The 26,526-nt window shown below is 56.2% G+C and overlaps 3 protein-coding genes and 1 long non-coding RNA gene across 7 annotated transcripts, besides 8 other annotated features; 3 read left to right on the top strand and 1 right to left on the bottom strand.

The window, feature by feature from the left end:
- Positions 185-6,155, top strand: FDX2 (ferredoxin 2). Its single transcript, NM_001397406.1, has 5 exons — positions 185-348; positions 441-495; positions 708-814; positions 5,260-5,347; positions 5,558-6,155. Exons 1-5 carry the CDS (start codon positions 204-206, stop codon positions 5,712-5,714), a joined length of 552 nt encoding a protein of 183 aa, NP_001384335.1. The 5' UTR covers positions 185-203; the 3' UTR covers positions 5,715-6,155.
- On the top strand, positions 185-11,397 carry FDX2-ZGLP1 (FDX2-ZGLP1 readthrough). 2 transcript variants are annotated; one of them, NR_176052.1, is made up of 9 exons: positions 185-348; positions 441-495; positions 647-814; positions 5,260-5,347; positions 5,558-6,851; positions 7,650-8,015; positions 10,248-10,354; positions 10,717-10,810; positions 10,992-11,397. It is a non-coding gene; the product is annotated as an FDX2-ZGLP1 readthrough (long non-coding RNA). The 2 variants fall into 2 exon arrangements; NR_176051.1 differs by having other exon boundaries at positions 708-814; positions 5,558-8,015.
- Positions 431-550: a silencer, noted in NCBI's record as "silent region_10064". NCBI's record gives its function as "represses an Ori minimal core promoter by ATAC-STARR-seq in GM12878 lymphoblastoid cells {active_cell/tissue: GM12878}" and the evidence as "EXISTENCE:reporter gene assay evidence [ECO:0000049][PMID:35858748]".
- Positions 6,385-11,397, top strand: ZGLP1 (zinc finger GATA like protein 1). Of its 3 annotated transcripts, NM_001409033.1 has the most exons (5): positions 6,385-6,851; positions 7,650-8,015; positions 10,248-10,354; positions 10,717-10,810; positions 10,992-11,397. In NM_001409033.1, exons 1-5 carry the CDS (start codon positions 6,715-6,717, stop codon positions 11,107-11,109), a joined length of 822 nt encoding a protein of 273 aa, NP_001395962.1. In that variant the 5' UTR covers positions 6,385-6,714; the 3' UTR covers positions 11,110-11,397. The 3 variants fall into 3 exon arrangements, 2 of the variants coding, with proteins under 2 accessions (NP_001395962.1, NP_001096637.1); NM_001103167.1 differs by having other exon boundaries at positions 6,643-8,015; NR_176053.1 differs by lacking the exons at positions 6,385-6,851; positions 7,650-8,015; positions 10,248-10,354 and having other exon boundaries at positions 10,555-10,810.
- Positions 10,139-11,338: an enhancer, noted in NCBI's record as "CDK7 strongly-dependent group 2 enhancer chr19:10415538-10416737 (GRCh37/hg19 assembly coordinates)". NCBI's record gives its function as "activates an origin of replication core promoter dependent on BRD2, BRD4, P300/CBP, MED14 and CDK7 cofactors, with strong dependence on CDK7, by STARR-seq in HCT116 cells {active_cell/tissue: HCT116}" and the evidence as "EXISTENCE:reporter gene assay evidence [ECO:0000049][PMID:35650434]".
- Positions 15,926-16,758: a transcriptional cis regulatory region, noted in NCBI's record as "candidate enhancer chr19.1775 targeted for multiplex CRISPR interference". NCBI's record gives its function as "positively regulates ICAM3 and ICAM5 gene expression in K562 cells {active_cell/tissue: K562}" and the evidence as "EXISTENCE:mutant phenotype evidence [ECO:0000015][PMID:30612741]".
- Positions 16,317-16,566: an enhancer, noted in NCBI's record as "active region_13956". NCBI's record gives its function as "activates an Ori minimal core promoter by ATAC-STARR-seq in GM12878 lymphoblastoid cells {active_cell/tissue: GM12878}" and the evidence as "EXISTENCE:reporter gene assay evidence [ECO:0000049][PMID:35858748]".
- Positions 16,473-16,637: a silencer, noted in NCBI's record as "fragment chr19:10410239-10410403 (GRCh37/hg19 assembly coordinates)". NCBI's record gives its function as "represses an EF-1alpha promoter that drives an FKBP-Casp9 reporter gene in an ReSE screen in phorbol 12-myristate 13-acetate-treated (for megakaryocytic differentiation) K562 erythroleukemia cells {active_cell/tissue: K562(+PMA)}" and the evidence as "EXISTENCE:reporter gene assay evidence [ECO:0000049][PMID:32094911]".
- ICAM5 (intercellular adhesion molecule 5) lies at positions 19,422-26,248 on the bottom strand. Its single transcript, NM_003259.4, has 11 exons — positions 26,075-26,248; positions 24,859-25,128; positions 24,391-24,711; positions 23,878-24,165; positions 23,334-23,588; positions 22,954-23,202; positions 22,257-22,502; positions 21,882-22,160; positions 21,560-21,799; positions 20,588-20,854; positions 19,422-19,861 (listed from the first exon to the last, which is right to left on the bottom strand). The coding sequence occupies exons 1-11, from the start codon at positions 26,154-26,156 to the stop codon at positions 19,584-19,586; spliced, it is 2,775 nt and encodes a 924-aa protein (NP_003250.3). The 5' UTR covers positions 26,157-26,248; the 3' UTR covers positions 19,422-19,583.
- Positions 23,401-24,393: an enhancer, noted in NCBI's record as "H3K27ac-H3K4me1 hESC enhancer chr19:10402483-10403475 (GRCh37/hg19 assembly coordinates)". NCBI's record gives its function as "activates a minimal SCP1, AML or CMV promoter by ChIP-STARR-seq in naive H9 embryonic stem cells {active_cell/tissue: H9 hESC(naive)}" and the evidence as "EXISTENCE:reporter gene assay evidence [ECO:0000049][PMID:30033119]".
- Positions 23,674-23,773: a silencer, noted in NCBI's record as "silent region_10063". NCBI's record gives its function as "represses an Ori minimal core promoter by ATAC-STARR-seq in GM12878 lymphoblastoid cells {active_cell/tissue: GM12878}" and the evidence as "EXISTENCE:reporter gene assay evidence [ECO:0000049][PMID:35858748]".
- Positions 24,784-24,853: a silencer, noted in NCBI's record as "silent region_10062". NCBI's record gives its function as "represses an Ori minimal core promoter by ATAC-STARR-seq in GM12878 lymphoblastoid cells {active_cell/tissue: GM12878}" and the evidence as "EXISTENCE:reporter gene assay evidence [ECO:0000049][PMID:35858748]".

Genomic DNA, 26,526 nt, shown 5'->3' with positions numbered 1-26,526 from the left:
GGTTCTTGGGACAAACAGTGGGCTTGAGTGGGAGGTCTGGGATGGCCCCGCGGGTTTACCTGAGATGGATTCCGCCCTGCTCTTCCCACCTGGTCACCGCAGGCCCTAAGCAAACATCTGCGCTTATGTTCCATTGATTATGGGCTTTCCCTCGCCTCCCTGGCGCGGCGCATGCTCAGTCGGTGAGTCACGTGATGCATGTCATGGCCGCCTCCATGGCCCGGGGAGGCGTGAGTGCCAGGGTTCTACTGCAGGCTGCCAGGGGCACCTGGTGGAACAGACCTGGGGGCACTTCCGGGTCGGGGGAGGGGGTGGCGCTGGGGACAACCAGAAAGTTTCAAGCGACAGGTACCTGGGGCGCCCGGGGCGGGCAGCGTTAATCCGTCAGATGCCGGCGGGGCGGGGCTCGGCGCAGCCGCTCACCGAACCGTGTTTTCCAGGCTCGCGCCCGGCTGGAGAGGAGGACGCGGGCGGCCCGGAGCGGCCCGGGGACGTGTGAGTGCAGGGGGCCAAGTCCCCCATTCCTCATCCCACGGAATTCCTCTGGTCCCCATCTTGCCCTGTAGCTTCATCTCGAGGTCCCCCTTCTGCTTTGCCCTATTCAGTACCTGTGCGTCAAGCCTCAATTCCTACTTCCTAACCCTAGATTCTACCCGGGCCCTGAGCCCATCATCCAGTTCGGCATTCGCACTTCCATCTGTCCCCAGGGTGAACGTGGTGTTCGTAGACCGCTCAGGCCAGCGGATCCCAGTGAGTGGCAGAGTCGGGGACAATGTTCTTCACCTGGCCCAGCGCCACGGGGTGGACCTGGAAGGTAGGAACCGGGCAGAGGGAATTAAGGAGGTCCTTATACATTTGTCCAAAAAAAAAAAAAAAAAAACCCACAAATTAGGTGTGTCTCTTCACGTCTTTTTCCCACCAAATATGGACTAAAATCCAAACCCCTCACCATGGCCTCATCTGTTGCCAAGCTCTTATTTGTTAAGCATTTATTAGAGATCACTAGGACTCCTGGCTCCCAGGATTTTGTGTTCTCTTCCCCCTTCCTCCCTGTATTCTAGCCACATTGGCTTTCTTTTTGTTGTTGTTGTTTTGAGATGGAGTTTCACTCTTGTTGCCCAGGCTGGAGTGCAATGGCTTACTGCACCTCAGCTCACTGCAACCTCCACCTCCCGGGTTCAAGCGTTTCTCCTGCCCCAGCCTCCAGACTAGCTGGGATTACAGGCGCCCACCACCAAGCCCAGCTAATTTTTGTATTTTTAGTAGAGACGGGGTTTCACCACATTGGCCAGGCTGGTCTCAAACTCCTGAAAGGTGATCCACCCGCCTCAGCCTCCCAAAATGCTGGGATTACAGGCATGAGCCACCGCGCCCAGCCCACACTGGCTTTCTTGTGGTTCCTCAAACAACCAAGCTCATTCCTGCTTCGGGGCCTTTACATTTGCTGTTCCCTCTGTCTGAAGTGCTTTCCCAGCAAACATTCTGGCTCTTTCTCATCCTTCAGACCTCAGTGTAAATGTCATGTCCCTAACAATCCCATTCCCCTCAGCCCAGCTGAAGTACCCATGCCCTAGTTACTCTGTCTTATCAGTGTGATATGATATATAGCACTTCTCACTTTTTTTTTTTCAAGAGACGGAGCCTTGCTGTGTCGCCAATGCTGGAGTGCCATGATGCAATCATACCTCACTGCAGCCTTGAACTCCTGGGTTCAAGTGATCCTCCCACCTCAGCCTCCCAAGTAGCTGGGATTATAGGCACAAGCCACAATGCCAGGCTGTTTTGTTTCCTACTTTGTCATCTGTCCCCCAGTGAGATTGGTGACCCATGTCCTTATTCATGCTTATCTGTTGCCTGTCAAGATGTAACAGATGTTTGATAATTTGTTGAGAGAAAAATAATAATAGAAATTTCTTGTCCAGGCACAGTGGCTCATGCCTGTAATCCCAACACTTTGGGAGGCCGAGGCAGGCGACTCACTTGAGGACAGGAGTTTGAGACTAGTCTGGCCAACATGGCGAAACCCTGTCTCTACAAGAAACACAAAAATTAGCTGGGCGTGGTGGCACATGCATATAATCCCAGCTACTTGGGAGGCTGAGGCACAAGAATCACTTGAACTTGGGAGGCAGAGGTTGCAGTGAGCCAAGATGGCACCACTGCACTCCAGGCTGCATGACAGAGCGGGACTCTGTCTCAAACAAACAAAAAAAAAAGGCCAGGCGCGGTGGCTCACGCCTGTAATCCCAGCACTTTGGGAGGCCGAGGCGGGCGGATCACGAGGTCAGGAGATAGAGACCATCCTGGCTAAAATGGTGAAACCCCGTCTCTAATAAAAATACAAAAAATTAGGTGGGCGTGGTGGTGGGCGCCTGTAGTCCCAGCTACTCGGGAGGCTGAGGCAGGAGAATGGCATGAACCCGGGAGGTGGAGCTTGCAGTGAGCCAAGATCACGCCACTGCACTCCAGCCTGGGCGACAGAGTGAGACTGTCTCAAAAAAAAAAAAAAAAAAAAAAAAAAAAAAAAATATATATATATATATATATATGTCTTTAACCATGTTAATAAATATTCACTGACTGAATCTTCATGACAACTTGAGTAGTAGAGACTGTTATTCCCTATTATAGATGAGGCAACTAAACCCCAGGTTAAGTAGACCTGGTCTAAGGGCAAGTGAGTGACAATACTAGACTCACCAGTCCATTGTAGCCACTAATCTGTGCTGCCTTTCTATGAATACCTACTGCGCGTCAGGCAGCAATATACAAAACAAATAAGGCCTCTGTCATCTCACATCCATTTCGGTCTAATAGGGACAATAATCCCACAGGTAAATACATAATTATGACCAACTTGGGAAGGGTTGTCTGGAAGAAAATATATAGGGTTTGCTTTTGGGATGAATATATCAGGGATCCTGATTTTATCATTAAAGGGGAAGATATGTTGGGAGGGGTTATGAAAGGCCTACCTAAAGTTCTGTTCTGGAATCCAGCAGCCAATAGTCTAGGACAGGGATTGGAATGTGAGATAGATTTATTTGTTCATTTATTTATCTGAGACAGAGTCTCGCTCTATCACCCAGGCTGGACTGCAATGGCATGATCTTGGCTTACTGCAACCTCTACCTCCAGGGTTCAAGTGATTCTCCTGCCTTAGCCTCCCGAGTAGCTGGGATTACAGGCAACTGCCACCATGCCCGGCTAAGTTTTTGTATTTTTAATAGAGATGGGGTTTCGCCATGTTGGCCAGGGTGGTCTCAAACTCCTGACCACAGTTGATCTGCCTGCCTTGGCCTCCCAAAGTGCTGGGATTACAGACATGAGCCACTGTGCCGGGCTAGTAGAGGTAAGTGGCCTGGCAAGGTGTGGTGGCTCACGCCTGTAATCCCAGCACTTTGGGAGGCTGAGGCGAGCGGATCACGAGGTCAGGAGATCAAGACCATCCTGGCTAACATGGTGAAACCCTGTCTCTACTAAAAATACAAAAACAAAATTAGCCAGGCATGGTGGCAGGCGCCTGTAGTCCCAGCTGCTCTGGGAGGCGGAGGCAGGAGAATGGCGTGAATCCGGGAAGCGGAGCTTGTAGTGAGCCGAGATCACGCCACTGCAGTCCAGCCTGGGCAACAGAGCGGGACTCCATCTCTAAGAAAAAAATTACAAAGGAAAACAAAGGAATGAATGAGGGGGATGGGGGAACTGCAAGACTAAGTGAAGGAGTTTGGATTTTATTCTGAGTGTGAAAACCCTTTGGAAAGTTTTAGGCCAGGAGGGACATGATCCCCAAGCACCGGTCTCTGTGATCAGAGGATGTGGGGGTGTGACCAAGGGCAGGTGGTCAGCAGAAAACTTCAGGTTCTGTCTCTTTCAACCCTAATTCCTGGTCTGGTGCAGTGGCATATGCCTGTAGTCCCAGCATTTTGGGAAGCCAAGGCAGGCAGATTGCTTGAGCTTAGGAGTTTGAGACCAGCCTGGGCCACATGGTGAACCTCGTCTCTACAAAAAAAAAAAAAAAAAAAAAAAATATGGCCAGGTGCGGTGGCTCACACCTGTAATCCCAGCACTTAGGGAGGCCGAGATAGGTGGATCACCTGAGGTCAGGAGTTCAAGACCAGCCTGGCCAGCATGGCAAAACCCCATCTCTACTAAAAATACAAAATTAGCTGGGCGTGATGGTGGGCACCTGTAATCCCAGCTACTTGGGAGGCTGAGGCAGGAGAATCACTTGAACCTGGGAGGCAGAGGTTGCATTGAGCCGAGATCATACCATTGCACTCCAGCCTGGGCAAAGAGAGCGAAACTCCACCTCAAAAAAAAAAAAAAAAAAAAATTAGCCAGGTGTGGTGGTGCGCACATGTAGTCCCAGCTACTCGGGAGGCTGGGGTGGGAGGATCGCTTGAGCCGGGAGGTTGAGGCAGTAAGCTATGACTGAGCCATGGCACTCCAGGCTGGGCAACAGAGTGAGACCCTGTCTCAAAAAAAAAAAAAAAAAATCCTGGCCGGGTGCAGTGGCTTACGCCTGTAATCCCAGCACTTTGGGAAGCTGAGGCGGGCAGATCATGAGGTCAGGAGATCAAGACCATCCTGGCTAACATGGTGAAACCCCAGCTCTACTAAAAAAATATAAAAAAATTAGCCAGGCGTGGTGGCAGGCACCTGTAGTCCCAGCTACTTGGGAGGCTGAGGCAGGAGAATGGCGTGAACCCGGGAGGCAGAGCTTGCAGTGAGCCGAGATCGTGCCACTGCACTCCAGCCTGGGCAACAGAACAAGACTCCATCTCAAAAAAAAAAAAAACAAAATCCTAATGCCTGATTCCTTCCCCCACCACACTGACTGCTGAGTCAGCCGGTCCATCCTCCAAGAGCAGTGGAGAGGTGGGGACACATTAGCCCAGCACAGTGATAGGGTCACAGCAAGGGCTCACAGACTGCGGGGAGCCTGCCTGGCCTTTCCCCTCTCAGCTACCTGGCAGCCAAGTCCCTGCTCCTTAATGGTTCTGCATCTCAGCCTGCTAGGGAGTCCCTGGGAAATGGGGCCTCCCAGATGTCCGTTTGTAAACCCTACACACTGGGGAACAGCTAGCTGAGGACATTGAGGACATGACACAGTGCCTGGTACACACAGTGGAGCTGCAGGCCCAGGAGGGAGACGTGAGGCACGTGGTGGAAGAGAGGTCTACTCCTCTACGCCATTCGCATAGCAGCCCCTTCCTGACTCTGCCACTCACCTGCGCCCCCTTCACTTCCCACCCCTAGGGGCCTGTGAAGCCTCCCTGGCCTGCTCCACCTGCCATGTGTATGTGAGTGAAGACCACCTGGATCTCCTGCCTCCTCCCGAGGAGAGGTGAGTGGGTCAGCCCTGTCTAGCTGGCAGCTTCACCCTGGAGCATTCAGCAGCCCCCACCATCCTCCCCACTTCCAGTTCCTGGAATGGGAGCTGCCTCCCCCACCACTACCCCCTGCGCTCAGTCAGCTTCCTCCCTCCCCCACCTCTGGCCCCCCACCCACCCAGCTAGCTTGCCCTCGGCTAACACTGCCCGTGTCACCACCCTAGGGAAGACGACATGCTAGACATGGCCCCCCTCCTCCAGGAGAACTCGCGGCTGGGCTGCCAGATTGTGCTGACACCGGAGCTGGAAGGAGCGGAATTCACCCTGCCCAAGATCACCAGGAACTTCTACGTGGATGGCCATGTCCCCAAGCCCCACTGACATGAACACCTGGACCATTCCACATTGCCATGGCCCCAGGGCCCAGATTGAGGGAATAGCCAGGTGCCAGCCCTGCCCAGAGTGCGGACAGGCCCGGGAGAGACGTGGAAGCCCCTGTGAAGGACAACACCCCTGCTTGGGAGAGAGTCCCATGTCCAGGCTCTGGTGGGGACAGGGCCCCTAGTGGGGTGGCCTTCCCCAGGCCCCTGAGAATCAGGGTTTGAGTAGGAGTGGACTCATATTGGAGCTGCAATAAATCGATAACACAGGCCCCAGCATGTTGAGTGTCCTTGGGGGACAGATCTGGGGTCTACAGGTGGCTCACACCTGTAATCCTAGCACTTTGGGAAGCCAAGATGGGAGGATCACTTGAGGCCAGGAGCTTAAGACCATCCTGGGCAACATGGCGAGACCTCGTCTCTATAAAAACAGTAAAAATTAGCGTGGAGTGGTGGTAAGTGCCTGTAGTCCCAGCTACTCGGGAGACTGAGGTGGGAGGATCACTTGAGCCCAGGGGATTTAGGCTGCAGTGGAGCGGTGATCAGGCCATTCCACTCCAGCCTGGGTGACAGAGTGAGGCCCTGTCTCAAAAAAAAAAAAAACAAAAACAAAAACAAACCACACCTGCATCTGCTGTGCTGGGCCCCCGGTTCTCTTTTCCCTCTGGGATCTAAGATGCCGCTGGGGATCCAAGGCAGAGGCCTGGGAGCCCCCATTTCCGAGGGGGAGGGCTAGCGTGGAAGGCCCCGCCCCGGCAGCTGCGGAGGGATTTGGTGGGGTCCAGGCCGCCCTTGCCACGCAGGGGTGCGCGGATGACCTGAAAAAAGCCAGAAAGAGGAAAGGTGCCGCCGAGGCTGGTCGCTCTCAGCTGGGGCTCATCGCATCCTCTACCAAGAGCGCTCCCACCACACAGGTCCCGCCCCTCCCAGGTGGGTTTCATCGGGTGGGCCCAGCGGGACAGGGCCGGGTGAAATTAGGGAGGGGGCTGGGCTGGGGCGCAATGGAGGCCGAGCCAATCCCGGACTCCTCAATGCCAGCAAAGCTTCTGGCGCCGCCCTGTCTGAACCTGGAGCGGCTGGGAGGATCCCCCTCCCAGGAGAAGCCGAGGACCCCAGGATGCTGCAGAATCAGTGAGAGGTGCGTAAGGCCAAACCCCATTCCCCGGACCCCGCTAGCACTTCACCACCTGGCTCAGTGATCAAGGGGTCATGACCTCTCTTTGCTGGGGTTATCGAGAAGTGGCAATTTTATAATAGTTACTGAAACTTACAAAGAGGTTCTGGTGCCCAGAGACACTTGGGGTCATCTAGGGATCAGAGGCCATGCAATTCCATGTCTCTGGGGCTGATGTAGGCACTCCCCAGGGATCATCCAGGGGTTATGGAGGGCAACTCAATAATAATGAAAATGATAAAAATCGTAATCATATTATGGCAAGCCAGCGGCGTGGTGGCGCGTGCCTGTAAGTCCCAGCTACTCGGGAGGCTGAGGCGGAAGGATCGGTCGAGCCCAGGAGTTCTAGGCTGCACTGAGTCCTGATCACGCCCCTGCACTCCAGGCGGGGGTACAGAGTGAGGCTCGGTCTCTAAAAGAAACACAAAGAAAAAAAGTAACCTTTTTCTCGATCCTGCAGCCAGAGGCTTGATATCCTGCCTCGGTCACCTAGGGCGGTCCCTGCCTGGGTGATCTACGGGTGCCGTAAGGGGTTGATTGATGTGGAGGGCTGGGCGTGCCTGGGAGGCCCACAGTGGGCGAGGTGAGTTGCAATTACTGCAACTCTTAAACCTTCCACCCAGAGTTAGAAATGACTGAACCTCAGGTGGGGTGTGTAGCCTGTCCAAGGGTACACAAAGAGCCGGCCCAAGTTGGAACCCCCTGGCCGGCTAAACCCAGGAGTCACCCAAGAAAACGTGACCCCACTGCCCTTCTCCCCAGGTCCCTCTGGCCTGCATGCCAGGAGTCGGTCACCGCCCTGTGCTTCCTCCAAGAGACAGTGGAGAGGCTGGGTCAGTCCCCTGCCCAGGACACCCCGGTCCTGGGGCCTTGCTGGGACCCGATGGCTCTGGGGACTCAGGGCCGCCTGCTGCTGGACAGGGATTCCAAGGACACACAGACCAGGATCAGCCAAAAGGGCCGCCGTCTGCAGCCCCCGGGGACTCCCTCGGCCCCACCCCAGAGAAGGCCCCGGAAACAGCTGAACCCCTGCCGGGGCACCGAGAGAGTGGACCCTGGGTTCGAGGGGGTGACTCTGAAGTTTCAGATAAAGCCGGACTCCAGCCTGCAGATCATCCCCACGTACAGGTAGGGGCCGGCTGGGGCCAGGCCGCCCTTTCTCCCAGTTACAACGCAAACACCAGTGTGGGAGGTAGGGGTGCTCTCTGGCGTCGGTGTGGACCCTCACCTGTGCTCTACGTTACACGTGGCCCAGTCTCTGGTTGACAACTTGAGCTGGTGCCAGATACAGTCCTGCCGCTCCTGACTCAGTGGCTCCCCACTCCCAATGTGAGACCTGGTCTCTTTAGGAATCAGGCCTGGCCTTGCTTAGGCTGCAGCTGCGGCTGCGGTGATTTTTCCCAATAATGCTAACAGCTACTATTTGTTGGTAGTGACAACAATAAGAGGTTAACAGGCAGTATTTTATGTGTATGGGCTCATTCAAAAGCCTGGGGAGGCCGGGCACAGTGGCTCACGCCTATAATCCCATCACTTTGGGAGGCCAAGGCGAGCAGATCACCTGAAGTCAGGAGTTTGAGATCAGCCTGGCCAACATAGTGAAACCCCATGTCTACTAAAAATACAAAAAATTAGCTGGGCGTTGTAGTGGGTGCCTGTAATCCCAGCTGCTCAGGAGGCTGAGGCAGGAGAATCGCTTGAACTCAGGAGGTGAAGTCTTCAGTAAGCAGAGATAGCGCCACCTCACTCCAGCCTGAGCCACAGAGTGGGACTCAGTCTCAAAAAAAAAAAAAAAACTAGCTGGGAATGGTAATGGGCACCTGTAATCCCAGCTACTTGGGAGGCTGAGGCAGGAGAATCGCTTGAACCCAGGAGGTGGAGGTTGCACTGAGCAGAGATGGCACCACTGCACTCCAGCCTGGGTGACAGAGCAAGACTCCATCCCCTTAAAAAAAAAAAAAAAAAAGCTTTGGGAAGCTGGGCCTGGTGGCTCACACCTGTAATCCCAGCACTTTGGGAGGCCAAGGTGGGAGGATTGCATGAGCCCAGGAGTTCAAGACCAGCCTGGGCAACATAGTATGACCCCCAGCTCTAATTTTTACCTATTTATTGTTATTATAAAAATTATAATTATGACTTTTTTAATCATGCCGCCAAAACAATATTTTTTTTTTTTTTTGAGATGGAGTTGCACTCTGTCGTTCAGGCTGGAGTGCAATGACACAATCTCGGCTCACTGCAACCTCTGCCTCCCGGATTCAAACGATTCTCCTGCCTCAGCCTCTGGAGTAGCTGGGATTACAGGTGCCTGCTACCACGCCTGGCTAATTTTTGTATTTTTAGTAGAGATGGGGTTTTGCCATGTTGGCCGGGATGGTCTCGATCTCTTGACCTCAGGTGATCCATCTGCCTTGCCCTCCCAAAGTGTTGGGATTACAGGAGTGAGCCGCCACCATGCCTGGCTGCTTTTTTTTGCTTTTGTTTGTTTGTTTGTTTTTGAGACAGGGTCTTGCTCTGTCACCCAGGGTGGAGTGCAGTGGCGCAATCATGGCTCACTGCAGCCTGGACCTCCCAGGCCCAAGCCATCCTCCCTCCTCAGCCTCCCAACTAGCTGGGAGTGCAGGCCTGTACCACCACTCCTGGCTATTTTTTTTGTTTGTAGAGACGGGGTCTCCCTATATTGCCCAGACTCCCATCTCTTTTTAAAAATCAATAAATCAAATTTTCAAAGAAAAAAAAACTGTTGTATTGGGAAGCCCATTTTACAGATGAGGAAACTGAGGCACAGAGTAGGAGATAATGTGTCCAGGCTCACACAGCAAGGACATGGAGAACTGGGATTGGAACCTGGCAGGCTGTCCCTGTGCTTACTATTTTTCAAATAATAATAATAATAATTAGGTCGGGCACGGTAGCTCATGCCTGTAATCCCTGCACTTTGGGAGGCCGAGGTGGGTGGATCACTTGAGGTCAGGAGTTCGAGACCAGCCTGGCCAACATGGTGAAACCCCGTCTGTACTAAAAATACAAAAATTAGCTGGGCGTGGTGTCGCGCGCCTGTAGTCCCAGCTGCTTGGGAGGCTGAGGCTCAAGAATTGCTTGAACCCGGGAGGTGGAGGTTGTAGTGAGCTGAGATGACACCACTACACTCCAGCCTGGGCAACAGAGCGAGACTCCATCTGCAAAAATAATAATAATAATAATAATAATATTACTAATGAGAGGCAAAGCCAGGCCATTCAGATATTAGTTGCCTCCTCGGGGGATGGCTGATACCTTGATACTAAATCTTCATTTCGGAGGGCTGTTGGGGACAAGCTACAGATCCCCCCCAGTGCTAATACCTTGTCTGCCCCACAGCCTGCCCTGCAGTAGCCGTTCTCAGGAATCCCCTGCAGATGCTGTTGGGGGCCCTGCAGCCCACCCAGGAGGCACCGAGGCCCACTCAGCAGGCAGCGAGGCCCTGGGTGAGTCCTGAAAACCCAAGAGCTATAAATATTTTGGGGGCCAATTTCCTGTCTTCCCTGCCTTTCTCCCTGCCCCCCCCTTCTCCATCTTGCTTCCCCATTTAGAGCCCTCAGGGAGGAGTCGCAGCACCCCCCTCCACTTGGGCTGAGTCACCCCCACCCCCAGCTTCCTCCTCTGCGGAATGCTGCCATCTGTCTCCCTTCCTGGCTTTGCTGTGGCTTAGAGCTGGCAACTCCCAGGGCTGATCCAGAGCTAGGTGGGGCCTTTACTGAGACCCCCACAAAATGCCCGACTCCGCACAGGCATCCCGAGCTCACATGCTTGGCCTCTGACCCCTGCCCTTTGACCTCTGACCCTTCAGAGCCCCGGCGCTGTGCTTCCTGTCGGACCCAGAGGACCCCGCTCTGGAGAGACGCTGAAGATGGGACCCCTCTCTGCAACGCCTGTGGGATCAGGTCCTTAGAATGGAGGAGGGAGTTGGGGCGGGGGTCCCCAAATCAGTCCACGTGTAACCAGGATGGCCTGTGGGGAAAGCAAAAAGCAAAACACCTACCTCTTGGGAAAAGTGGTTTCCTTGTGGCGGTTTCCGGGCCCCCACTGCATCCTAAATGGCAGTTTCTTGTCCCCCAACCCTAGGTACAAGAAATACGGCACTCGCTGCTCCAGCTGCTGGCTGGTGCCCAGGAAAAATGTCCAGCCCAAGAGGCTATGTGGCAGATGTGGAGTGTCCCTGGACCCCATTCAGGAAGGTTAAACCCAGCTTCACCCTGCTGAGCTGCTGCTTCTGCCTCCGTTTCACCAGTGGGAGAATGGGCAGAAGCAGCTCTCCTAGGAGGATTGGGGAAAGAGCCGGCCTGCCTCCTCTCTGCCATCTCCAGATTCAAGGATCCCGGGGGAAGACCCAGGCCTCAGGTGGCAGAGCCTGCTAGGGGTCACCAGCCCCTTCTCCAGTCAGCCTTGGCCGAGGCCCCCTCAGGAGACGCTCTCAGGAAGGATGAGCATTGTTACAGCAGGGACAATAAAGTACAGAGATATGCCGAGAGAAAAAGCCTGTGATTTGGGATCCCGCCTCCTGTGCCCCTGTGCCAGCCCAGGAAGGTGGACAGGTGTTTTCTCGTTGGGGTTGTGAGGGGCGTGCACACACGTGCGCATGCACAGAGACACAGTCTTATCCACAGGCAGCAGCCCCCACACAGGGAATTAGCCACATTTACCACAATGTCCCATGCAGGGAAACAGCCACTACCCACAGACACACACAACAGATACAGAAAGACACACACAAGCCGGGTGCAGTGGCTCACGCCTGTAATCCCAACACTTTGGGAGGCTGAGGCAGGAGGATTGCTTGAGGCCACGAGTTTGAGACCAGCCTGGGCAACATAGTGAGACCCTGTTATATACAGAAGGGAAAAAAAAAGACACATGTCTAGCCAGGCACAGTGGCTCATTTCTGTAATCCCAGCACTTTGGGAGGCTGATGCAGGTGGATCACCTGAGGTCAGGAGATCGAGACCAGCCTGGCCAACATGATGAAACCCCGTCTCTACTAAATATGCAAAAATTAGCCAGGCGTGGTAGCATGTGCCTGTAATCCGAGCTACTTGGGAGGCTCAGGCAGGAGAATCGCTTGAACCTGGGAGGTTGAGGTTGCAATGAGCCAAGATCGTGCCACTGCACTCCAGCCTGGGTGACAGAGCGAGACTCTATCTCAAAAAAGACACATGCAAGACAGCCGTGCGTGCTGACAGACACATCAGCAGAGACACACGTCGACAGGGATATGCTGACACGTAGCTGAGTCACACACAGATACAGCCCACACAGGACACATGCACCAGACACACGTAAAACACACAAGTAGATGGCACACACTGGCAGCATATACCAGTGGATCCTTCATCTGTCACCCAACCCCTGCCTGCAGTGTGTCACTCTCCTTAGCCCCTGCTGTGTCCCCTACCCCCTTTTAAGATCTCCCTAATCCAGCCAAAATGTGTCTCCCGGGCCTGAAGTCAAAAGCCCCAAGTCAGAGGCATCTTTCAGCAGGCGGGACACACAGGCCACCAGCACTCACAGGGAGGGAGGGAGGATGGAGAGTCAAGACTGGTGGCGGGCTGGGCATGGTGGCTCACACCTGTAATCCCAACACTTCAGAAGGCAGAGGTGGGAGGATCGCTTGAGCCCAGGAGTTTGAGACCAGCCTGGGTAACACAGTGAGACCCCGTCTCTACCAAAAAATCAAAAAATGAGCCAGGGGTGGTGGTGCATGCCTGTAGTGCCAGCTACTCAGGACACTGAGGTGGGAGGATCACTTGAGCCCTGGAGGTCAAGACTGCAGTGAACCGTGATCGTACCACTGTACTCCAGCCTGGGTAATAGAGGGAGACTTGGGGAAAAAAAAAAAAGTAGGGTGGGCATGGTCCTTGCTGTGGGCGTGAGTGAGCCACAAAGCCACACACCCTTATGAGATCCTCTTTGTCTCTCCTGGGCAGCCCTGAATGGGAGAACTGGAGTCCAGATTCCTCTGCCCTCAGATCCCTGAATTATTTGATCTTACCCTTCCTTGGCCTGAAACACCCTCCCTCCACATCTCCCCATGGCTGACACCTTCTAATCGCTTGAGGAGGCCTGGCCCCAACATCAGCTCTTCAGAGAAGCCTTCCTTGACCACTCAGACTAAAATAGACACCTCCCCCGACTCAGGCCGGGTGTGGTGGCTCACACCTGTAATCCCAGCACTCAGGGAGGCTGAGGTGTGAGGATCACTTAAACTCAGGAGTTTGAGGCTGGGCTTGGTGGCTCACACCTGTAATTCCAGCACTTTGGGAGGCCAAGGCAGGAGGATCACCTGAGGTCAGGAGTTAGAGACTGGTTAACATGGTGAAACCCCACCTCTGCTAAAACTACAAAAAATAGCCGGGCGTAGTGGCAGGCGCCTGTAGTACCAGCTACTTGGGAGGCTGAGGGAGGACAATTGCTTGTTATCTACAGAATGAAAAAAACAAGACACATGCCCAGCCAGGCAGAGTGGCTCATTCCTATAATCCCAGCACTTTGGGAAACTGAGGCAGGTGGATCACCGGAGGTCAGGAGTTCGAGACCAGCCTGGCCAACATGGGGAAACCCTGTCTCTACTAAAGATACAAAAATTAGCCAGGCGTGGTGGCATGTGCCTGTAATCCCAGCTACTTGGGAGGTGGAGGTTACAGTGAGCCGAGATCGTGCCACTGCACTCCAGCCTTGGAGACAGAGACTCCATCTCAAAACAAAAACAAAAACAAAAAACTAATTAAAAAATAAAATAGGCCAGATGTGGCTCACAGGCTCACACCTGTAATCCAAGCACTTTGGGAGCCCAAGGCAGCAAGATCACTTGAACCCAGGAGTTCAAGACCAGCCTGGGCAACATGGTGAAACCCCGTTTCTACCAAAAATACAAAAATTAGCCGGATGTGGTGGCATGCACCTATATTCCCAGCTGCTTGGGAGGCTGAGGTGGGAGGATCACTTGAGTCTGGGAAGTTGAAGCTGCAGTGAGCCACGATCGTGCCACTGCACTGCTGCCTGAGCAACAGAGTGAGACCCTGTCTCCAAAAAAAAAATAAAATAGACATTCCCACTCTCACCCTGTGTCAGCCTCCGGTTCAGCTCCTTGCTGGTCTCCCTCTTAGAACCTATCAGAATTTCCATTGTCTGGAAGCCTTCCTTGACCACTCAGTCTAAAATAGAAAGGAAGGCTTATGGTTACATTATCCACATCCATCTCCCCTACTGCCCCAGGAGTTCTCAAGTCTGAGGTCGCCACATCTATGTCCTTGCCCACGACAGGCCTCTCCAGTGCCAAGTATAGAGAAGCTCTCTGCAAGGACACACCTTGAACACATATCTGCAAGCTCGTGGCTGTCTTTACCCACTTATTCAACATTTATTGAGCAACTGTGTGTGCTAGGACCCAATGAGGACCCTCAGTGGTGAACAGAACAAAGATCCCTGCTCTACTGGGGCTGATGTTCTAGGAGACAGTAAAAAAAAAAAAAAAAAAAAAACTCAGAGGCAGGACGCGGTGCCTCATGCCTGTAATCCCAGCATTTTGGAAGGCTAAGGCAGGCGGACTGCCTGAACTCAGGAGTTTGAGACCAGCCTGGGCAACACGGTGAAACCCTGTCTCTACTAAAAAACAAAAAATCAGCCAGGTGTGGCGGCATGTGTCTGTAGTCCCAGCTACTCGGGAGGCTGAGGCAGGAGAATTGCTTGAACCTGGGAGGCAGTGGTTGCAAGGTTGCAGTGAGCTGAGAGCACACCACTGCATTCCATCCTGGGTGACAGAGAGAGACTCCCTCTCAAAAAAAAAAAAAAAAAAAACCTCAGGTGTATGTCTAAGAGGATGTTAAGTTGTGAGCTGGGCTACAGAGAAAAAGTGTGCAAGGAAATAAAAGAGTTAAGGAGGTCGGGCGTGGTGGCTCATGCCTGTAATCCCAGCACTTTGGGAGGCTGAGGTGGGCGAATCCCTTGAGGTCAGGAGTTCGAGACCAGCGTGGACAAAATGGTGAAACCCCCTCTCTATTAAAAATACAAAAATTAGGCAGGTGTGGTGGCATGTGCCTGTAATCTCACCTACTCAGGGGGCTAAGGTGGGAGAATCGCTTTAACCCAGGAGGCAGAGGCTGCAGTGAGATCTTGCCTTTGCACTCCAGCCTGGGTGACAAAGTGAGACTCTGTCTCAAAAAAAAAAAGAAAAAAAAAAAAAAATGTCGGGCACCATGGCTCATGCCTGCCTGTAATCCCAGCACTTTGGGAAGCTGAGGTGGGTGGATCAGGAGTTCGAGACCAGCCTGGCAAACATGGTGAAACCCCATCTCTGCTAAAGATACAAAAATTAGCCAGGCATAGTGGTGGGTGCCTGTAATCCTATTGGGAGGCTGAGGCAGGAGAGAATCACTTGAACCTGGGAGGCGGAGGCTGCAGTAAGCCAAGATTGCGCCACTGCACTCCAGCCTGGGCCACACAGTGAGACTCCGTCTCAAACAAACAAACAAACAAACAAACAAACAAAAAAAAAAACAGAAAGAAAAAGAAAAAGTAATTGCAGTTTTTGCCATTACTTTTTTTTTTTTTTTTTCCTCTGAGACAGTCTCACTCTGTGGCCCAGGCTGGAGTGCAGTGGCGTGATTTCAGCTCACTGCAGCCTCCGCTTCAGGGTTCAAGCAGTTCTCCTGCCTCAGCCTCCCAAGTAGCTGAGACTACAGGGGTGTGCCACCATGTCCGGCTAATTTTTTTTGTATTGTTAGTAGAGACAGGGTTTCACCATGTTAGCCAGGCTGGTCTTGAACTCCTGACCTCGTGATCTGCCCACCTCGGCCTCCCAAAGTGCTGGGATTACAGGCGTGAGCCACCATGCCCTGCCTGCCATTACTTTCAATGGCAAAAACAGCAATTACTTTTGCACCAACCTACTAAAATAAATATCTCATCTGAAGGCTCTGAAAGAGACCTTGAGGTCAGTAGGAGCGGAGAGAGATCATTAAGTAGGGAGGGCACAGGCAGAAAAGGTGAGGTGCTGTTAGTGGCAGGGACTGCACCTGGCTGGTGCCTTTTTGGGTGTTATACCTGGCCCCTGGCTCCAGCACCGAGCACTGGCCTGCCCTCTTGTGCCATTTCCCCGTCTCATCTTTGCTCATTACATGTTTGCATGGGACTGGCTTCCTTCTCTAGGGCTCCGTGTTCCTGCTTTTGAGGGAGGAGGGGCAGAGGAGGAGGCTGTGGGGAGGAGGCCCAGCTGCTGTGCCTTATGCTGTTGGGGATGAGGGGGGAAGGTGCCGTGTAGTGGGGGTTGCAGCGGATACCCTGTGTGTGTCTGTTCTGAATCATGATGGGCTGAGTGGAAAGGCAGGGTGGGGGTAAACTGAAGCACTGTGGGTGGACACAGGACAAAGGAGGCATTGAGGGCGGGGCAGGGGTGCCCCCTTTAACAGGGAGGACATGCTAAGGGCTGACACCCATAGCATCAGCCAGTGCCTGCCCAGGAAGGTCTCACCGAAGTCTCAGGGCAGGGGCACAACGGAGAGGGCCTCCACCCACCCTGGCAAGGCGGCCTCAGCTCTGCCGGTAACCAGGCCTGGGGGAAGCACCTAGCCCCCACCTCCAAGAGTGACCCGGATCAGAGGGCAGTGCTGGGTGGAAGAGATAAGTAGGAGGAAGGAGTGAGGCCCCCACCCCTGCCCAAGGGTGTGAAGAGAGCAGAAAACAGGCACTGAGAGAGGACGAGCTCTAGGTCACACTGAGAAAAGACAGCCAGCCGGGCCAGGCACAGTGGCTCAGGCTTGTAATTCCAGCACGTTGGGAGACCGAGGCAGGTGAATCACGAGGTCAGTAGTTCCAGACTAGCCTGACCAACATGGTGAAACCCTGTCTCTACTAAAAATACAAAAATTAGCCGGGCGTAGTGGTGGCGCGCGCCTGTAATCCCAGCTACTCAGGAGGCTGAGGCAGGAAAATCGCTTGAACGTGGGAGGCAGAGCTTGCAGTGAGCTGAGATTACACCACTGCACTCCAGCCTGGGCGACAGAGAGACTCCGTCTCAAAAAAAAAAAAAAAAGAAAAAGAAAAAGACAGCTTAGATTGTGCCTGATGCATAGTAGGTGTTCAAAAAAAGTTTTTGGATTTTTTCGTTGTTTGTTTTTAGAGACAGGGTCTGGTTCTGTCACCTGGGCTGGAGCACAATGACGATATCATAGCTGGAAGTGGCTTTGACCTCCTAGGCTCAAAGGATCCTCCTGCCTCAGCCTCCCAAGTAGCTGGGACTACAGGCATGCACCACCATGTCTGGCTAATTTTTGAAAAATACACCAGGCATGGTGGCTTACAGCTGTAATCCCAGCACTTTGGGAGACCGAGGCAGGTGGATCACCTTAGGTCAGGAGTTCGAGACCAGCCTGGCCAACATGGTGAAACCCTGTCTCTACTAAAAATACAAAAATTAGCTGGGTGTGGTGGTGCATGCCTATAGTCCCAGCTATTTGGGAAGCCAAGGCAGGGGAATTGCTTGAACCCAGGAGGCAGAGGTTGCAGTGAGCCAAGATCACACCACAGCACTCCAGCCTGGGTGACAGAGCAAGACTCCATCTCAAAAAAAAAATTTTTTTTTTGAGGCCGGGCGCGGTGGCTCACGCCTGTAATCCCAGCACTTTGGGAGGCTGAGGCGGGTGGATCTCGAGGTCAGGAATAGAGACCATCCTGGCGAACACGGTGAAATCCCATCTCTACTAAAAATACAAAAAAAAATTAGCTGGGTGTGGTGGCAGGCGCCTGTAATCCCAGCTACTTGGGAGGCTGAGGCAGGAGAATGGCATGAACCCGGGAGACGGAGCTTGCAGTGAGCAGAGATAGTGCCACTGCTGTCCAGCCTGGGCGACAGAGCGAGACTCCATCTCAAAAAAAAAAATTTTTTTTTGAAACATGTTTTTTTGTAGGGTCTCGCTATGTTGCCCAGGCTGGTCTGAAACTCGTGGGCACAAGGGATCCTCCCACCTGGGCCTCCCAAAAGTCCTGGGATTACAGGCTTGAGCCACCATGCCCAGCCCCCTCAAAAAACACTTTTTTTTTTTTTTTTTTTTTTTTGAGACAGAGTCTAGTTCTGTTGCCCAGGCTGGAGTGCAATGGCAAGATCTCTACCTCCCGGGTTCTAGCAATTCTCCTGCCTCAGCCTCACGAGTAGCTGGGATTACAGGGCGTGTGCCACTACAGCCCAGCTAAATTTTTGTATTTTTTTGTTTTTGTTTTTGGTTTTTTTTTGAGACAGAGTCTCGCTCTATTGCCCAGGCTGGAGTGCAGTGGTGCGATCTTGGCTCACTGCAACCTCTGCCTCCGGGGTTAAAGCGATTCTCCTGCCTCAGCCTCTTGAGTAGCTGGGACTACAGGCATGTGCCACCACGCCCGGCTAATTTTTGTGTTTTTAGTAGTGACGGGGTTTCACCATGTTAGCCAGGACAGTCTTGATCTTCTAACCCCATGATCCGCCCGCCTCAGCCTCGCAAAGTGCTGGGATTACAGACGTGAGCCACTTCACCCGGCCTTAATTTTTTTGTATTTTTGGTAGAGAAGGTGTTTCACCACGTTGGCCAGGGTGGTCTCGAACTCCTGACCTCAAGTGACCCCCCCCCCCCGCCTTAGTTTCCCAAAGTTCTGGGATTCAAGCGAGAGTACTGTGCTCGGCCCTGGCTAATTTTTTTTTTTTTTTTTGAGACGGAGTCTTGCTGTCTGCCAGGGTGGAGTGCAGTGGCGCGATCTCGGCTCACTGCAAGCTCTGCTCCCCGGGTTCATGCCATTCTCCTGCCTCAGCCTCCTGAGTAGCTGGGACTACAGGCGCCCGCCACCACGCTCGGCTAATTTTTTTTTTTTTTTTTTTTTTGTATTTTTAGTAGAGACGGGGTTTCACCGTGTTAGCGAGGATGGTCTCGATCTCCCGACCTCGTGATCCGCCCGCCTCGGCCTCCCAAAGTGCTGGGATTACAGGCGTGAGCCACCACGCCTGGTTTTTTTTTTAAGACGGAATCTCGCTCTGTCGCCAGGCTGGAGTTCAGTGGCACGATCTCGGCTCACTGCAACCTCTGCCTCCGGGGTTAAAGCGATTCTCCTGCCTCAGCCTCCCGAATAGCTGGGACTACAGGCGCGCACCACCATGCCCAGCTAATTTTTGTATTTTTAGTAGAGACAGGGTTTCACCATATTGGCCAGGATGGTCTCGATCTCATGACCTCGACCTCGTGATCTGGCCGCCTCGGCCTTCCAAAGTCCTGGGATTACACGCATGAGCCACCGCGACCGGCCTTGGCTAATTTTTGAAAAATATTTTTTGTAGGGTCTCCCTATGTTGCCCAGGCTGGTCTGAAACTCTTGGGTGCAAGGGATCCTCCCACCTGGGCCTCCCACAAGTCCTGGGATTACAGGCCTAAGCCACCACCCCAGGCCCTCTCAAAAATCGCTTTTTGAATGAATAACTCGGGAGGTCACGACTGGAACCCTGGGCTTGTTCCACCTTGCAGAAACAGAAGCGGAGACAGGGAGTTCCTTTATAAAAACTTTATTGAGGGGATGGGTAGAAAATGGGGGTGACGCCCTTGGAGTTGAATACATAAATAAATGAATAAGTAAATAAATAAAGCAATAAATAAGCCCCCGTGTGAGTCTGGGGGGCGTCCCCCGGCCCGCGGGGAGAGGGGAGCGGGCTCACGCCGATGTCAGCTGTATGGCGAAGACCTCGCCCTCCGCCGGCGACTCGGCCGCGCCCCCCGCCGCCTCGGGTCCGCCCTCCGCGCCTGCCGCCCCGCCAGCGCCGCCGCCCGCTCCGTTCAGACACACGGCCTCGCCTGAGCTCTCGGCCTCCTGCACGTTGTACTCGCCCTTCTTGCAGGCGGTGGACTGCACGTAGAAGGCCAGGCCGGCCCCCGCGGCCAGCAGCGCCGCGCCCCCCGCCGCGCCGCCCACGGCGACCCATAGCCACGGACCTGCGGGGTGGAGACCCTCGCGGAGGGTGGCCAAGCTCCGGGGGGCTTCTCCCACCGCCCCCCGCACTCCCACAGGCACGAAGTCAGTCCTCATGCCCCGGGGAGCTCACTGTCTGGCCTTGGGAGAAGGGAGACAACCCATGCAATAAGGCCACTCCCAGTGCCAGGGCGACCCGAGTCCCGATTTATATCGCACTTCAGCCCATGGGGATATAAACCCGTGACCACACTTAGCCCCCTGGCGACAAGTCAACTCTCCCCATCCCCCAAAAAATGAGGACCGGCAGGACCAGGTCAGGTTCCCCCGACCCCAGAGAGAACCCAGCCCCAGGAGCTTCAGGAAGTGAGAGAAGGCGATCTTGACCCCTCTCTCCCTCCAACATCCAATGACTTTGGTCCCTCCCCAATCTTCCCCACAGTGGATTGTGAATTGGGTCAAGTTTCCACCACGCAGAATCCAGCCCAAGTTTTAAAGTCCTTTCCTGCAGCAGTGACAGCCCCGGAGGGTCCCTCCCCTTGAATTCAGTCCCCCTGCCACCTCCATCTCCCACCCCTCAAAGTGCGATCAACAGCCCCACCCGCTAAGGCACCTTTGACTTCTACTCTGTCCCACTTCCGTCTAGTCTACCGGGACCGAGAGGGAGGCAGGCGGGGCCGGCCGCCCCAAGACCCAGGTCACGCCCCCTCTCAGATACCTCGCCCCGCCTCTCCCCAGCTGCCACTTACCGGCCACGCGCACCGTGATGCGCCGCGCGTGGCGCCCGTGCGCGTTGGTGGCTGCGCACTCGTACTCGCCGCCGTGGCTTCCCATGGCGCCTGCCACGCTCAGTGTGCTGTTGTTGCTCGACAGGCCGATGTTGAGGGCCCCCGGGGGCGCGCGCCAGCTGATCTGGGCTGGAGGCCAGGCCTCCGCGCGGCAGGTCAACGTGAAGTTTCCTCCTGGGCGCACGCCTCCAGGGGGCGAGGCAGCAAGTTCGGCCACCACTGGCCGGTCTGAAGGGCACAGAAGGTGAAGTGGGGCTTAGCGCCGGCCCAGCCACTGATCAAATGCCCTGCTCCGGCCCACAACGATCGATGGGAGACCACCGCGCCTCTGATGGGCAGAAGAGGATCCTGCCTCCTATCAGAGCCTCCTTCCCCGACAATCAGGCTGCTGTTGCGGCTAAAATTCCTCGCCCTTCTTCACCGAATGGAAGGAGGTGAAGCCCAGGTCAGTGTTCTAATCCAGGATTTGAGGAGGGCCGTGCTCCTATTCCCTATAATTTTCTTTTTCTGTTTTTCTAAGAAAGAGTCTCACTCTGTTGCCCAGGCTGGAGTGCAGTGGCGGGATCTCGGCTCCCTGCAACCTCTGCCTCCCAGGCTCAAGCGATTCTCCTGCCTCAGCCTCCCAAGTAGCTGGGACCACAGGCGCCCACCACCACGACCGGCTAATTTTTGTAGAGACGGGTTTTCGCCATGTTGGCCGGGCTGGTCTCGAACTCCTGGCCTCAAGTGATTCATCCGCCTCAACCTTCCAAAGTGTTGGGATTACAGACCTGAGCCACTGCGCCTGGCTAGAATTTTCATTACCCCCTGGTTTAGGCTGGAATTCCCTGTCCCCGAGAATGGGATTGGGAGAGGTGCCCTTGAATGCTCCCACCGCTGCGAGTCATTCTTCCGAGGACCGTGTCCCCTCCATCCGGTGCTGCCCCCACTCACATTCCACGCCCACAGTGACGGTCCGGGAGTCCGTGCCATGCGCATTGGTGGCCACACAGTGGTAAGTGCCCGCGTCCTCTCGGGACACGCGCTGCTGCTCAGGCCATGGGATGCCTTCCCGAGAGCAGCGCACTCCTGGGGAAGGGCGACCCCGGGCGGCGCAGGCCAGCGCGGAAGCCTCAGCCCCTTCCAGCCACGTCTGGTGACTTGGGCAGGTAGATTCATCCATCTCCGGTGGCGCTGCAAAGCAGCCATGGGGGATGTCAGGGAGTGCCTGGACCGTGGGGCACCCCTGCTCCCTACCCGCCTGGGCCTCGCTCACACTCCGCGCTCACGACGACTGTTTTGGCCACGGAGCCGTGGCGGTTGGTGGCGTTGCAGACGTAGATACCGGGTGCCAGGACTCTAGGGATTCTGGGAGCTCTGGGACTAGGGTCTGGGGGTGCCAGCGGCAGCAGCACCCCCTCAGTGGCGCCCCCGGAGCCCACGCACTTCACGCTTGGCTGTGGCTTCCCATCGACCTCACAGGAAAACAGGCGCCCAGATCCTTCCACCCATGTCCAATTGCTGGGGCAGCTCGGCTCCTCAAACCTGGGGCCATCTGGGAAACAGGATTGCAGGGGCTCACACGGGGGCCAGGAAGTCCAGCCGGGGTTGTCCCACAGATCCTGCCTAACTCCGCGGTGCCCCTACTCACATTCCACCGTGACGGCCACATTTTTGGCCGCAGAGCCCCGAGGGTTGGTGGCTTCGCAGCGGTAAGTGCCCGCATGCTCCCGGGCCACACGCAACAGCCCCTCGATGACGGCCCCGAGTTCTCCAGAGCGCACGCAGATCACATCAGGCGGCGGTACCCCGTGCGCCACACAGCTCAGCGAGGCTTCTGTTCCCTCCAGCCAAGTAATGCGTTCTGGGCAGCCCACGCTGTCCAGCGCTGGTGCGTCTGGAGGAGGGAGTGTATTGTTGGCTTTGGGGTTTGGGGGCAAATCTGACGTCCCTAGACCCTCCTTGGCGCGGCAAGGCTTCCACGAAGTGTTGTCCCTGCATAACCCTTGGACGCCGATCCAAGGAGGTGTCACGCTAGTCGAGGCATGCACTCTGTCTGGGAGCTTCCTGAGCCACCAGTGGCGCCTTTTTCGTCTAAAAACTTAAACACTCTGGACTGCCCGCCTTTCCACGACTCCGCCCAAATACCACGCCCTAGGCTAGGGGCACGCCCACCCGGTCCCTTCCATCCTCCAAGATCTTTCTCCAACCCCACTAACCAGCCTCTTCCCTTTCCCAAAACCTCACCCAAAGGGACACCTCATACCCTACTCCTACTCTTCCCTGGAGGCTGGCCACCCTCCAGACCTTGAACCAGATAGAAATGCACCCTGCGCACCCCCACTCACACTCCACCGTTAGCGTTACGTCCTTGACCGCCTCGCCTTGATCATTGGCCGCCTTGCAGCGGTAAGTGCCTGAGAGCGCCCGAGTGACTGGACCCAGCAGGCCCAGAGCCAGCACGGCCCCGCCGTCGGAGCGCGCACAGTGCACTGAGGGTTCTGGGTTCCCGCGGGCCTCGCAGCGCAGCGTCTGCTCTGGGCCCTCGGGCCACGTCCAACTCCTGGGGCAGTCCGAATCGTCTAGCCGGGGAGCGTCTGCGGGCAGGGCGTGGGGTTACAGAGGCTTAGACGTAAGAAATGGCTCCGCCTCCACGACACGGTGAGGGAGCAGGCGGGTCCTTGGAAGTCACCAGAAGGTGGGGGGCGAGGGGTTATCACCAACTCACATAGGACACGAAGCTCTGCGCTCCTGTTCTTGATCAGGGTCTCCCCGTCCACATCGAGGGTGGCGTCGCAGAAGAAGCTGCGTCTGTCGTCGTTCTCGGTGGCATTTAGCTGAAGCTGGGCGGGCTGCCCCGGGACCGCGGCTGGAACTCCCTCCAGTGTGACCAGAGCTTGGGCCCCAGCTGCGCAGGTTACTGTCACCATCTGCCCCTCGGAGACGCTGGGTTCGCTCAGGGTCAGGAGTGGTGCCGGGAAGCCTGGGGGCGGAGCATTTGGTCGTAGTATACTGACCATACCCCTCCCTCCGGTCAAGGCCCGCCCCTTATCTGCCCGAATCCTCGGGGTGCTGAGAACGAACTAGGGTACGGCGCCCCGCCTCTCAGGCTGTACAGGCTCCTCCTCCCCAGCGATTACGTCTCCGCCCCCACCTGCCCCGCCCCTCGGGCCACGCCTGTTCCGGTACTGAGGTCCCGCCCACTCTTCGCCCCGCCTTCGCATTCCTCTGGTCCCACCTCGGAGCCGCGGAGACCCCGCCTCCTTCCTTACTGTAGATGGTCACGTTCTCCCGGGTCTCCCGGTTTTCGCCCCCCAGGGTGACGTTGCAGACCAGCTGCCTGGCACCCTCCTGCTCTGCGCTAGCTGTGGCTGTGGCAGTGGCCACGAATGCGTCCCCTTCGAGGGTGACATCAGGACTCAGATTCTGGTCCCCCAGTGCGAGGTAGACCCTGGCCTCTGAGGCTGGAAACAGTCCGTCCAGAGTGCAGCTCACGGGCCTTTCCGAGCCAACTTCCAAGAGCCGGGGAGCAGCGAGGCGCGGGGCATCCGGAGACAGGGCTAGGGGTCGAAGAACCAAGTTTGAACTAACTCCGAGCGCTCAATATGTCCTAAGCACTTGACATGCACTATCTTATCGTATTATCATCCTCAAGGCACGGAGGGGGAAACAGCTCAGCCGGCGAGGGTTGAAGTCGGGGTCAGCATTCAGATGTATCTACCTCTAAACCTCCTAAACACCGACCGACCCCACTGGGTCCCCATCTCCTCCCCACACCCACTCACAGAAGGTTCGGAGCTCTCTGGGGGCCGAGCTGTTTTCAAACAGTCCCAGTCCGTGCGGCCGCAGGTCCAGCTCGGCGCGACACGAGAAATTGGCTCCATGGTCCTCCCTCCGAGCCAGTACCGTGGCTGTGAGCACCGCGCCCCGCGCTCGGGGTGGTTCACCGGCGAAGCTGCGGCGGATCAGCTCCTGGGCGCCCCGCAGCAGGGTCAGCGTGAGGCTCGCACGGGGCCCGGCGCCGGGGACCCTACAGCTCAGGGTGAAGTTCTCGCCCACCGGCTGCCAGGGAGGCAGCGGCATCAGCTCTACGCGATCTGGTCGCTCTGCAAGGGGGAAGAGTCCGCAGCTCTTTGAACACCGGGACTTGGAACAGAAGGTGGGGCCTGAAGGGGAGGACCCTGGGACCCAGGGGGCGGGGCCTGGGAGGGAGGGAGAGTAGTGGAGTACGCGCGTGGCCACCCAGAACTCACGGAAAGTGCGAATGAGCCCACGCGCCTGTAGTGTGCGCCGCGCGCAGCGGAAGAAGCAGACGGGCTGAGTCTCCGGCTCGCGAATGTCCACCAGCTGCCGCGCCAACCAACGCAAACCCCTCTGGGTCCCGTTTCGGCGCAGCGAGGTCTCCAGGCCACCGCGCTCCGGCCGAGGGCAGTTGGTGCTGCAATTCAGCCACAGCGAGCCCCCGCGCTCCACGAACGCCACGCGAGGCTGCAGGTCCGCCCAGAAGGGCTCCTGCGAGACCGCTGCCCAGGGAAACGCGGGCTGAGCCTGGGGAGCCAACTCCCTGACATCTTAGCGCCCCTATGTCGAGTCAAGGGTTCTCAGAGGGCGGGGAGGAGGAGGAGAGGCTGCAGCCAGGGAAAGAACCCAGGCGTCCCGCGTCCTGCCCAGGCCTCCGGTTTAAAGGCGCACTCCCAGAGTCTAAACCTCGAGGGTGTCTCTGGGACGTGGTAGCAGAGAGCCATGGTCTCCAAAGCGCCGATGGAGCGGCGGGAAAGCATGGGGGGAGGGCGTAGAGGAGAGGAAAGGTGGGTTCTTGGATGAACACAGCAAGGCTGAGAGAAGGGGACCCGGGATGGGGGATGGGGGATGAACCAGTTCTCAGGGTCCTGGCAGAATGCCGGGATACGAGGAGAGTGCGTTTGCGGCAAGGGCAAAGGAGAGACGAGGCTGGGTCAAGGATCAGGAAGGACCCTACACCCGGTGAAGAACACGGAGCCGGGACGCAAGGCTGGGCTCATGGAAGGAACCGCGGGAACAGCTGAGGGACCCGGTTGCCAGGGCTCTGGGTGGAGCGGGAACAGCGCCTCTGAGTCAGGGTAGTTGGAGAGATGGAGTCTTCGCGGACCGCGAGTGGGGAAGATGCCAGTCCGTGGACCATGGTGCACAGCACAGCGTAAGGAGGTACCCGGGGAGCGGACAGGAGAGACACTGGGTCTCCAGGGCGAAGGGTTGGGTGCGGAAGAACACCTAGGATCTCGAAGCGGGTAGGGGCTATCGAGGAGTCAGGAAGCTGGGGCTCGGGTGTGTGTTGGGGAGGAGGGGGAAGGGGAGAAGACTCAGGCTCGAGGTGGGGGCAGAGGCGTGGGAGCGAGGCGAGGGCAGAGCTGGGAGGGACAGGAGGCCGTTTCTCAGGTCCAGGGACTCCGCCCCCGCCCTGTCCACCCCGAACCAGAGCGGGGCTCTTACCTGAGAGGCCGAAGAGCCCCAGGCCCAGAGCAGCCCAGAGGCCGAGTAGCGCCCGGCGCAGCCCTGGCGAAGGCCCTGGCATCGCCGCGGCGGGGAAAGCACAGGAGGCGAGGAGAGCGCGAGCCGAGGAGCTGGGCTAGAGGACGGCTCCGCGCGGCGCGGCGGGTGGGGTGTGGGGGAGGCAGAGTTGCGCTTGGGGATTGGTTTAACGTTGGTAACTTGGTTTCCAAGGAGGGGGCGGCGGCAGAGGCGGCGGGGGGGCGGGAGGCGAGCGTGCGCTAAGCTCCTGGCCTTGGTGAAGGCGAGCTGGCAGGAGTGAGCGACCCCTGGGGTCTACGTGGAGGCCGGCATGATGGCCCAGGGCCTTCTGGGGGCGACCACGCTCTCTCGCGTCATCCCCGGCCGCGACTCTGGGATCGGGGGATGCTGGGTTGCCCTTCCCAAACCCCTAC

Source organism: Homo sapiens, chromosome 19 (genome assembly GCF_000001405.40).
Source record: "Homo sapiens chromosome 19, GRCh38.p14 Primary Assembly".
In the NCBI taxonomy this organism is placed as follows: Eukaryota; Metazoa; Chordata; class Mammalia; order Primates; family Hominidae; genus Homo; species Homo sapiens.
The sequence above is the reverse complement of the archived record's forward strand: the minus strand, read 5'-3'. Positions and strand labels throughout refer to the sequence as shown.

Excerpts from the sequence above, each read along its gene's own strand:
- FDX2 (NM_001397406.1), top strand. The coding sequence starts at position 204 with ATGGCCGCCTCCATGGCCCGGGGAGGCGTGAGTGCCAGGGTTCTACTG. Across the intron at positions 815-5,259 it reads CCACGGGGTGGACCTGGAAG|GGGCCTGTGAAGCCTCCCTG; the intron begins GTAGGAACCGGG and ends TCCCACCCCTAG. Across the intron at positions 5,348-5,557 it reads CTGCCTCCTCCCGAGGAGAG|GGAAGACGACATGCTAGACA; the intron begins GTGAGTGGGTCA and ends TCACCACCCTAG.
- ZGLP1 (NM_001409033.1), top strand. The coding sequence starts at position 6,715 with ATGGAGGCCGAGCCAATCCCGGACTCCTCAATGCCAGCAAAGCTTCTG. Across the intron at positions 8,016-10,247 it reads CAGATCATCCCCACGTACAG|CCTGCCCTGCAGTAGCCGTT; the intron begins GTAGGGGCCGGC and ends TCTGCCCCACAG. Across the intron at positions 10,811-10,991 it reads TGCAACGCCTGTGGGATCAG|GTACAAGAAATACGGCACTC; the intron begins GTCCTTAGAATG and ends CCCCAACCCTAG.
- ICAM5 (NM_003259.4), bottom strand. The coding sequence starts at position 26,156 with ATGCCAGGGCCTTCGCCAGGGCTGCGCCGGGCGCTACTCGGCCTCTGG. Across the intron at positions 23,589-23,877 it reads GGAGAACGTGACCATCTACA|GCTTCCCGGCACCACTCCTG; the intron begins GTAAGGAAGGAG and ends CTCCGCCCCCAG. Across the intron at positions 20,855-21,559 it reads CGTCACTGTGGGCGTGGAAT|ACCGGCCAGTGGTGGCCGAA; the intron begins GTGAGTGGGGGC and ends TGTGCCCTTCAG.